Here is a 12,200-nt window from a genome sequence, read left to right on the forward strand (position 1 = left end):
TTATAGCCATCTACTAGATTCACATGAATATTCATTTCCTCCAGCTCATTTATTAAAATCAATTTAAGAAAAATACAGTTTAAAAGGATTCTGAAGAAATTAAGGTATTTAACTAAAACAAAGAGGATATTATCCAGCAATGTTTTAAAAAGATTTTTAATAGTAGAATCTGCTTTCTCTTATTAATAAGTTTTTGTGACAACTGGGACTTTTTATTTTGCAAATTTAAAAACTAGAGCAAAATCTTGCCCTTGTTTTGATGTAGATGTATTATAGTTTTATCTATTTAAGTCAAAAACATTTTTCTGAGAAGACAAAATTTGGTTTATAGTTTGGTTGGGCTATAGTTATTGTCATTCTCCTGTGGACCCTAAATATACTCTAGGCAAGAAACTCTGGATTTAGAAACTGTCTATTAACCTAGTTTTATTTTACCTTAGTAGTTTTCAACTGTTTGCTATAGAACTTCAAGTACCTAAATGATGGAGTTACATCTGCTACCCAGATTGGGAAACAGATGACAGGACAGGCCTAATAGTGTCATTAGTTTATTTAAATATTGAATGAACAAAGAGGATTGCTCTATGTGCAAAGTGTGGCAACTGCTAACTAAAAGGTGTTATCCCAACGTCTACTTTTCTGTTGATAATTTTGTTTTTGCTGGTTCTTCTCTTGAAGACCATACCAACAGACACGCTCTAAAACATGTCCATTAATTCAATCTGTCTCTGCCCTTGGTTACTCCCTAACTGTTCTAGTATTTTACCCAATGTGGTAGGCAGAATAATGACATCTCAAAGATGTCCATGTTTTAATCCTTGGAACATGTGAATATGTTACTTTACATTGCAAAGGGGATTTTGCAGTGTGATTAAGGTTAAGGACCTGGAGAAAGGAAGATTATCTTGAACTATGCAGGTGGGCCCATTTGAATCACATGAGTTCTTAAAAGAACCCTTCTGTCTGAGATAAAAGTGAGAGAGGTCACCAAGAGACGTAACATTGCTGTCTTTGAAGATGGAAGGAGGAGGCCATAAGCCAAGGAATGAAGGCGACCTCCAGAAGCTGAAAAAGGTAGAGAAATGGATCCTCTCCCAGAGCCTGCAGAAGGGAACATAGCCCAACTGACACCTTGATATTAGCCCAGTGAGAGTCACTTAGGCTTCTGACTTACAGAACTCTAAGGTAATACATTTTTATTGTTTAAACCATTAAGATTGTGGGAATTAATTACAACAGCAAAAGAAAATTGATATCACTCATAAGAATTAATCTCATCGTAAAGAAAAAAAATCCTGTGGGCCACCTGCCTACCACTTTTCAGATGGATAATGGCATTCATAATTCTACAGTATCACTTTGAATTCTTTTCTAGTAAGAAAATTTGCACATATTGAATTCCTAACTTTTTGAGGCATGAAAGAGTTTGAGGTTATACATAAACCATATCCCCTATGTTACTTCTGGGTTTCTGTCATTCTATTTTACTCTCTCCTTCATAAGATGTCAAGGATGTATTACAACCAGAATGTACTTCTTACCTGTCTTGCTACATTCACATTGTGGTGCACATGAGAATGCTGAGATTAAAGGCTCAAAAATGAACACCTTAAAAAGAGAGCTGAATCTATCATTTCTAGCAGAAATGGAATCACAAGTATTTGGGCCAGAAGTATGAAATGTTTTGTTAAGTAAAAAAAGGCTCATTGATAAAACAACTTCTTTGTATTTTCTATAAAATCAAGAAAATTGTTCAAAATATAGAACAAGGCCTGGAACAGTGGCTCATTCCTGTAATCCCAGCACTTTGGGAGGCTGAGGCTGAGACAGGCAGATTGCTTGCGCATGGGAGTTCAAGACCAGCCTGGGCAACAATGGTGGAACCCCGTCTCTATAAGAACTACAAAAATTATCCAGGTATGCTGGTGTATGCCTATAGTCCCAGCTACTCAGGAGGCTGAGGTGGGAGGATTGTTTGAGTCCAGGAGGCAGAGGTTGCAGTAAGCCGAGATTGGGCCACTACACTCCAACCTGGATGACAGAGCAAGACCCTCTCTCAAAAAAAAAAAAAAGAAAAAGAAAAAATATATATATATACACACACACACACACGCGCACACGCGCGAGAGAGAAGGTGCAACAAAAAACCATTGTTTTCATTCTACTTACATTTTTAAACTACTATTTTTCTCATTCCTTCATCTCACAAAATACTTTTGTATTTATAAGAAAGTACTTCGAATTTATCTAAATAAGCATTAATCATCTTTATCAAATTTCTGGCTAGGACCAAATTTTTGAAATAAAAACAAAAATATAACTTTTAAATACATCCTAGAAAAAGTACAGGCAGGAAATTGGGCTTCAACATTTAAAATAGAATGGGAGGCTGAATGGTGTCTCATGCCTGTAATCCCAGCATTTTGAAAGGCCAAGGCAAGAGGATTGCTTAAGGCCAGGAGTTTGAGAGCAGCCTAGACAACACTGGAAGACCCTGTCTCTACAAAAAACAAACAAAAAAATACAGTGGGGAAAAAAATAAAGCTTTGTAAGTAATATCTATTAATACAGAGTTTGTGATAATTTAGAAGATATATTTAATCATGATTGAATTCTAAGGTTAAAAAGCAGCCAAAATCAGGGGTTTTAAAATAGGAGATGACATTGTGTAATGGAGGCTTAATTCCAAATATAATCATGTTCCATGAATATGTCATTATTTTTGACAACTAAAATGGCATTTTCTTTAAAAATCCAAAATTTTGACTTACTACAAATTTGTACAGGATTTTCACAACTCTACATTGGGGATGAACTTTTATTGCACATAATTAAAAAACAACAGAATGGTGAAACAAGTGTTTTATTTTTCAGTAGTTGTGTCTACAACATATGCATTTCTCCTTTAATCTGCAAGTATTTTTAAATTTTTAAGAATCATTCTCTCACTAGATAAGAGGAAGGAGACCCTCTGTTATAAAAGCAGTTGCCGGGAACTAACAATCTGTAACCATAACTATCTCGCTCTAATGGTAGGTGCAAAAGTAACTCTTATAAGGCATTGTCTTAGCCTGTAGTCCCCTTACTGCTAAAATAAAAGAATCACAGGACGTTGAGAGTTAAAGAGAACTTTAAAATTAATTTTTTCTTCTTGAGTCACTTAGTGTGTTTTTTAAAAAAATTATTGAAGTATAGCTGAAATAAGATAAACTTTATGTATTTACAGTGTACAGTTTGATTAGTTTTGACATCTGAAACCAGCACCACAATCAAGCTAACGAACATTTGCATTGCCCCCTAAACTTTCCCTTGGTATCTATCCCAGATCCCTCTCCCAGCCCCCTGCCCCAGTCCCCAGCTCCAAGCAACTACAGGCTGCTTTCTGTTACTATTGATAAATTTGCATTTTCTAAAATATTATGTAAATTATATAGTATGTACAAAATTGTGAGATTCACCAATTTTGTCCCATGTATCAAAAGTTTTTTATTTTTAGTATTTCTGAAGTTAATTATTTTATTCATATAAGGTCCCTTAGTGGGCAAATTGATGAGCTGAAATTCATGGTTATGTCCATAGTCACATACTTTGTAAGTGTATTAGTCAGGGTTCTCCAGAGAAACAGAGCCAATAGTCTACACATAGAGACCTAGAAAGAGGTTAATGACCGCTCGGCTGAGATGTATCGTGTGGGACTAAGAAGTTCCATAGTCTGCTGTCTGCTCCCTGGAGGCCTAGGAAAGCCAGGGTTGTCATTCTAACACAGGCCCAAAGGACTGAGAACCAGTGAAGCCAAGGGTGTAAGTCCCAATCCCAATATCAAGACCCAAGAGCCAGGAGCATCAGTGCTGAAGGGCAGAAGAAGATACACGTTCCAGCTTGAGAATGAATCTGCCCTTCCTCTACCGTTCTGTTTTATTTGGGCCCTAATGGCTTGGATGATGCCTGCCCACATTGCTGAGGGTGAGTCTCTTTATTCAATATACTGATTCAACTGACATTCTCTCTGGAAATGCCCTCATAGACATACCCAGAAATAATGTCTTACCCGCTTACCTGGACATCCCTTAGCCCAGTCAAGCTGACACATAAAATTAACCAAGAGTGTGCTTTACAAGATAACATTATTAAATTAATATAATATTATTCAAAAATGTTACCCTTAGCCTCAGAAATCCCACTACTTTGGCAACAAGCAAATGATCCTCAGGGTCAGCTAGGCTATGGCCATTACTACATGAAATGGGAAGGAAATTTTGAGAGAGAAGGAACAAAAATTACTCTGAGCCATTCTTGCTGGTTCCTGAGATACCTACAAAGGAAGAATTACAAAATTCTAATATAAGAAGACTTTATATCTTTGTGCTTTGTTATTTTAAGGATTGAGCTACTAAAATTAGACTATATGGGCAAGGAGCAGTTAAAAATACCACTTCCAAAAAAGCTTTTGGAAGAAGATGGGAATATGAGTAAGGGTTGGGGTAGGGAGTTGTTGGGGTAGGGAGTTTCTTCTGGACCACAGCCATCCCAGAATATATTGTGTTCCCTAAAGTGTGAAAGGTATATTAAAAAGAACAGCAATAGGGAGTTTCTTCTGGACCACAGCCATCCCAGAATATATTGTGTTCCCTAAAGTGTGAAAGGTATATTAAAAAGAACAGCAATACAGAGTGAAGCCAATTCTAGAATTACCTTTCTTGCAATTCTGGTATTGCAAACATATTTGCAATGTTAATTAAAAAAAAAAAAACAAATGCTTATTACATGGTCTGAACACTGAGCAATCTCATGAAACAGAGTTCTCTGAGAAGAGTCTCCAGGAAAGGACTAGACCAACATAGGTTAGTGTGGCAGTAAGAAAATACCAATGTTGGTCAGAGACAAGAGAAGGGAAAAATATCCTTTTCTTAATCAGTATTCTGTACACTGTTCTTCATTTGTTCTTTCATTGCTCCTGACCAGTAAAATCCAACCCTGGACACCTCATTGTTCATCTCCTTTGCAGGATTAACTCCCTTGACCCAGTGTATAAATACTGAAGTTCCTCTCTGCTCAACATGCAGCCCTCTTCTTTCTCTCTGGCAATCTCATTCAGTCCCAATGCCTTTAATTGCCACTTATACATGGTGACTCACAATTGTGTAACTCCAACCCAGATCTCCCCTCATAGCTCTAGAGGTACCTATCCACTAACCTACTTGAAAAATCCTCTTGAATGTCCCAAAGTCATCTGAAAGTCAACATGCCAACGAGAAAGTGTTGATCTTCCTCCTCAAAAGGATCCTCTTCCACAATTCCCCTATCTCAGTGAATGATACATCCCGCTACCCATGCATAGGGCCATCCTTGACATCGCTCTCTCCCTCATCCTCCTCCCACATCGAAGGCATCATCACTTGTTGTTGTCTTTACTCTCTAAGCACAGTCTCTTTCCATCTGGTCCACTTCTACCAATTTCTGCTGTTTCCATCCTAGATTAAGTTACCATCATGGACAATTTAAGCAACTACCTAACAAATCAACCCATATGTCTTCTAGTTTTTAAGATGTATTCTCTGAGCCAGAAGGATCTTTCAAAACACAAACCATCCCTTCCTACTCCTCAGAATATCTGAAATTCAATCATTTTTAAAATTCTTCCTACTAAATAGCTTTTAAATCTATCCACCTTTTTTCAATCCTAATGCCACTAAACTAGACCCTAACATTGTCATCACCTCTTTCCTAGATTATACCAAATGCTTTGAAATTTTTATCCTCATCTGTGGTCTTTGCCTTTAAAATCTGTGTTACAAGTGCAACCAAAGTGATTGTCCTAAAGCAAAAGCTTATGTCCCTCCCTTGCTTAGACCACTTAGTTAAAATCAAACAGAAAAATCAGCAACATGAAACTATGAATATACATAAATATCACTTTCATCTCATATGAGGCATTCATACATGAGACTTCCTAGTCCTAGAATATAAGATGTAAGAAACAAAAAATAAACAGGGTTAAACACTGTATGCATTTGTTAACAAGATGTAAAATGTATCACAAATGTTTCATTGATGAAATGATGGTCATTTCTGTGAGATGAACTTCCTGGTAAGTATAATCAACCAGACACAGGAGGAAAAAAAGTGCCTATGATCTGCTAAAGGGGTCTAAGCTGGGGCTAGCATCTGTAAATAGAAAAGTCCTTATTCATTCAGCAAATACTTATTGAGCAATTAGTCCATGTACATTAATTTGGCGGGCAATTTTTAGCATATGCAGAAGTGTAAGAAGTGGTCCCTACCCTCAAAGTCCCCACAATGTACTTGAGGAGCCAAAAATAATATGAGAAAAGTTTAAAAGCCCACAACCAGAAGATGTCACAGAAGGAAAAAATGAGGTAGGATAAAAGAGATTAAGAGGTGCATAAAAGCTTTGTAGCAAATACACAGAAGTAAGAAAGCTAAATGTTTAATTAAAAGTTGTAGATGAACTAGCCTATGAGTTAGGACAGAACTTTTGACTCACAGAAGCTTTTATCAACATTTTTGGTTGTATAGACAACTTGGATTTTGTGTTACAATCCAAGTACAGACAACTTGAATTTTGAGGGATAGTGGTATGTCATGACATTTAATATGATTTGAGGTTCCATCATATGTTTAGCAGTGGTCTTAACTCCCTAAAGATTTTAGATCTCCCTAACGGTATGTTAACTGAATGTTAGCCTGTGAATTTTGCACAGATAATTCACATATGGACAAACCACACAAATGATTCATCCAGACGATGATACCATAAAATATCGTTATTTAAAATATTTCTCATAAGATTGCAAGAAATTCTTTTAAATGAAAGGTCATTAAGCATCTTTATATCTAACTAGCAATCCAACTTGATATATTATTCCATAAATAACATCTCATCCAGTCATACTGCCTCAGGTTACAGCAAAGTTAGACTATACCAGCATGCTCTGGGTGAGTGAGGTAGTTGCAAGGAAAATGTCAAATACTGTTTCACGGACAACATTTTAGGAGCAAGAATGAGTCTGCTGGTTTTTTCCAACTCATATTTTATGGTGTCAATAGAGACAACAAAAAATCCCTATATGAGGTAGACATTTTGTCCAGAATTTCATGAAAAAAGCATCATATAAACTAGTTGATATTTTTGGTTGATCTCTAAGTTCTCATGTATTTTCAAAATAATGACTTGCACATTTATGCAATCCTCTCCAGATCCCAGCATTGCCAAAGTTAAAATTGTGTTTAGTTTTTTTAAAGGCAAACCATAAATTAAGTACTTTGACTTGATAAAAAGAAGTGCTTAGTTCAACTAATAATTAGCTGAAGGGTAATAGTTCAGCTATTAAGTGTATTTGCTGTCAAAAGATCAGCCACTTTCATTTACCTTTTTGCAATATTTCTCCATCTTTTTTGCCCTTTGTTAAATTTTAAAAAAGATAATACATTCTAAATGTCAAGACTGGATAGTATATTAAATATTTCAACATTTGGAAACACTAACACCCCATCTTTTTTTCCCCTTACAGTTCACACTAATTTGTCCTGATTTCATAACCAAGTAATTTAAACAGTGTAGTCTCTGTTCAGTCTTCAGAAACACCATTACAGTAGCCTTCATGTGTTACAGCACAGTTGGGGCAAAAGTCTTTGAAATGAGTGAAAGTGAATTTAAAGGGAATAACTAATTTCAGGAATACCAGCTGCCAAATGCTTCAACTTACCTAGTAACCACTATTCTCTAAAGTAGTCTTTTTCTTACTGTAGAACTTTTTATACTTTATCCAACAATCTCATATACATTATTTTATTCATCTTCACATTATCCTTTGAAAGAGGTAGTGTTATCTACATTGTTTCAAATGAGAAAATTGATCTGAATGTTAACTGAACTCACCAAACTAGTAAGAATTATACTAGATATGCTTTGTTGTCTGCAAGCTTTCCACCCAAAACTGCTAAATGGATCAGAAATGGATATTTCACCCCAAACCAATGAACACTTCATTAGCTTGTCCTGAGAATTTGAACTGAGACAAAAAGAGGCTATTGGCGGATGTCGGCTTTGGAAATGAAAGGTCACGCTATGGTTTGAGGGACCAAGAAATGACTTTGCAAAGTCATATCCAATATGGGCAAGCAAAAGAAACCAGTGAAGGAAAAATAAAGTTGACACGTTAAGATGAGAGGGAAGATGACATGAAGGGAAATGTGCAGCCTAGAAGAGAGAAAGAAAGGGAGCTCGTTACTGGATTTCTCTTCTGATCCACACAGGGTCTGGCTGTACTTTATTTGCTGATCTTAGATGACAGTCAAATTGACTACTGAAGGCTTACACTGAATCCTTTGGCTTAAGCTAGCCTGAGTGGGCTTCTGTCACAACCAGAGCTTCCTTAACTGAAGAACAGTGGTAGAGCCCTGACTTGAATCATTAAGCTCTGGGTTTATTCCCAATGCTCTTTGTCATGCACAAAATTGTGAATTTTCTCTTCCTTATAGAGTTCATTCACTAGATACTGTAAAGTGGCAGAATGCATTCACCTGGTATGAGTTTCTAATCAATCTATAGATAGATTAGATAGATGGAGTATATGACTTTATTAATATATGTAATAGAAATATTGTTATATATGGAATAACTAGGAAAATGATAAGTAATAATTGGAAATTAGAAAACAACATTTAAGAAAAATATATAAATGAAAGTCTTAGAAATCACAAGTCTCTTAAATAATCCAAAGCTATCAGTATTTTCAAGTGACCAGTAGGTATATGAAAAGATACTCAACACCACTAATCAGAGAAATACAAATCAAAACCACGATGAGATACCATATTTTCCTAGTCAGAATGGCTGTTTATTAAAAAGACCAAAAATTACCAAATTTTGATAAGGATGCAGAGAAAAGGGAACTCTTATACACTGTTGATGGGAATGTGATCTAGTATATCCACTATGGAAAACAGTATGGAGATTTCTCAAAAAAACTAAAAATAAAATTACCAATTGACCCGGCAATCCCAATACTGGGTATCTATTCAAAGGAAAAGCAATTAATATATCAAAAGGATACTGCACTCACATGTTTATAGCAATACTCTTCACAATAGCAAAGATATGGAACCAACCTAAGTGTCGACTGGCAGATAAACGCATAAAGAAAGTGTGGTATATATACACAATAGTATACCGCTCGGCCATTAGAAGAAGAAAATCATGCCTTTAAAGTAACATGGATGGAATAGGAGGTCATTATCTTAAGTGAAACAAATATTGCAGTTCTCACATGTGTAAGCTAAAAAATTTGAATACATGGAGGTAGAGATTTAAAAAATAGATAACAGAGACTGGAAAGGGTGAGTGGGGGAGAGGAGGGAAGATGAAGAGAAGTGGTTTAAAGAGTACAAATATACGGTAAGAAGAAATAAACTCAATGTTTGAAAACAGAGTAGAGTGGCTATACTTAACAAAAATCTATTGTACTCAGGTGATGGGTACCTAAAATACCCTGACTTGATCATTGCAAATTATATATATATGTAAAAAAATTTCTCACATACCTCACAAGTTTGTACAAGTAACAAATACATTATTAGTATTTTCTGCAACCAAAACAAAAACAAACAGACCTCTAACACAAGATATTAAAACAAAGTTTTACCAAAATTTAGTGAAATCGGACAAATATCAACCAAAGTCAATTTCTATGTTGCAGGCCAATGTGATGAGCAAGGAAACGTGCTGATATGTCTTCAGCACCAACTTATCATACATCACCTTTGAAGACTGCTGGTATACATGTGACCTTTTATCACACACATGCTTATTAAATCCTAAGCAACTTCAAGAGAAAAGTGTTCCCCTATTTCACAGGTGAAAAAAAAATTGAGGCTCAGAAAAGCCAAGTGTCAACTCTAGAGTTACAGAGATTATAAATGATAAAATCCACTTTTACTCAGAGGTGAGAGAGGACACAACATGGTTTAAAGACAGCCTTGAGCATAACAGGTAAATAAATGTGTGAGTTAATGAAAAAATTGCTTAGGCAGGAAGAAGGAATGAAGGCAGTGATGCAGCCCACTAACCTACAAAACCTACAAAGGCATAAACTCCCTTCTTTCTTCTCAACGATCCTGACAATATTCTCCCTCTCATTCACACCCACCCACCCACACACACACACACACAAAGTGACGAAGGCTCTGCCACATGCTTCATTAAATGGGAACATTTAATTTTATGATTTTTTTTCTATTGGCACTTTTTCTACTCTGCTTATAACAATGTATTTTCCATTGCTTATCATAACTGGATTCACCTAGAGATTTTACAAATTTCTGGGAAGCTTGGGCAGAATCTAGGACTATCATTTCAGAAGATGTTTCTGCTACAACAGAAGTTTCTATTAAAGAATGGATTCTAGTGATGTGATATGAACATTGCAATGTATTTGATTTATATATTTCATCCAAATTTAGTAATACTTGCCCATGTCAGAAAATATTTTTACTTCTTAGATTTGAAAGCCTTAAAATACGGGCATTAAGCCTATTTAACCTAAGATTGTGGGGAAGAACATATGTAGTTATTGAACTGACAGAATGATGCTATCTTGTAGCAAACAAAATGTCCTACATTTCTAAGAAAGATGATATTTATTAATAATTTAGAAGAAATCAAGAAACATCAGAGCTAGAGAAAAGCCAAAAGACTACTGCATACATTTCCATGTTACAGATGAGGAACCTAAGGCCTTCCCAGGTGTCAGCAGGTGAGCAATACTTATCAGGTGCTCTTTGTATCACAAGTATGTATGTGTATATGCATGCATGTATGTTTGTATGTATGTATGTATTTAACTCTTGGAAGGCAAATAATTGTATTAATCTCTGCATTCATAAGCACCCAATAACTTACCTGGCTGAGCATGAGTGTGCTGTTAAGTGATGGTTGAATGAGTCATGAACTCATAAAATGCAACTGGTACTTCTCAAGCACAAGTTCTAATAAAGACAAGGAAGTAGATGACTGGTCTTTTAATCATGCAATATTCACCCGCATTGATACTGCCATTTAGTGTTCCTGATTTGCTTGCAAAGAAGCTCAGGGATACCCTTTTGTGTCAGAGAAGATAAACAGGAGACATAGGAGCCAGCTAGAATTTCCCTAGGCTCAGAAATACCTCCTTCATCCTCAGCAACTCTGGGGCCCTGATAATGAACCTTCTCACAATCTCCTCTAACACAGCAGAGGAGAAGCAGGGCTAGTGTCTCTGGTGCAGTTCCCAGGCTCCAATCTGAGAGTGCACGGAGGAGAGAACAAGCATCCTACATTCACTCACTGAGCTGTGTAATACACTGGTTATGCACTCACCTGTCAAGATGACATCAGGACCGTGTCTCTAGATAAGGCTGCATGGACTGATCAACCATGTGTGCTTTGTGCAGAGCCTCTACTCTTACAGAAAATCCTCCTCAGTTTCCGTAACTGGACACAGATCCAGATTAGTTGGTAGGATCTGCTGTTTGGAGTTAGGCTGCTCCTCCATCTTCCTTGGACCACGGCATCTGCCTTCTTGTGGTCTGAGGCAGAATTAGATTTTATTAAAGATACTTTAGATTTGATTTCAAGTTACAATTTTGTTCAAATGTTATGGGGAGCAAAATGTCACTGAAAAGAGGTTAGCTGTGAAAAGCAATGAACGACTGCCAATGCCATTGTGCTAGTGACTTAATGTGCTGGTGTTTCTGGGGGATGTCTAACCACCTGTCATGCTGGAACAGGCTGACTGATCAGCCATGCCATGCACTGTCTCCCCAAGAAATGTCCCCTTCAGAAGAGAGGTGGTGGTTTTCCAGGGATATAGAGAAGAATGTTATATGCACTTATGAGTCCCATTGAGAGCCTTTGAGACACAATCCACCAAGGAGATACAAAATATGAGATTAACCTAGGAACAGGGAAAACAGTGCAATACAAATCACGTAATGGTTTTCAACCTAAAAAAGTATACAGTGAATGAACTAGTGTTTCAAAATGTTTAAATAACATAGTCTGGTTTTTAATTCTGCATATCCGAAACAAAACACACACTGTTCAAAAGAAGTTTCCTTCCACTCTTTTCCTCCAACAGTCTCTGAAGTCCCTACAGAAGTCAACTTTTCTTCTGAAGCAATCTGTGCCTGCTAACATCTTC

The 12,200-nt window shown here is 36.5% G+C and overlaps 1 protein-coding gene and 1 long non-coding RNA gene across 5 annotated transcripts in view; both read right to left on the minus strand.

The window, feature by feature from the left end:
- TRPM3 (transient receptor potential cation channel subfamily M member 3) overlaps nucleotides 1–12,200 on the minus strand; it is a 917,912-nt gene that overhangs the window by 786,523 nt on the left and 119,189 nt on the right. The gene's annotated exons all lie outside the window — the stretch shown is intronic.
- The window catches only part of LOC107987079 (uncharacterized), a 47,614-nt gene that overhangs the window by 33,142 nt on the left and 2,272 nt on the right, over nucleotides 1–12,200 (minus strand). Inside the window, exon 3 of the long non-coding RNA XR_001746718.1 lies at nucleotides 11,378–11,586. This is a non-coding gene — a long non-coding RNA (uncharacterized LOC107987079). The remainder of the gene's footprint in view (nucleotides 1–11,377; nucleotides 11,587–12,200) is intronic.

Source organism: Homo sapiens, chromosome 9 (assembly GCF_000001405.40).
Source record: "Homo sapiens chromosome 9, GRCh38.p14 Primary Assembly".
Classification (NCBI taxonomy): Eukaryota; Metazoa; Chordata; class Mammalia; order Primates; family Hominidae; genus Homo; species Homo sapiens.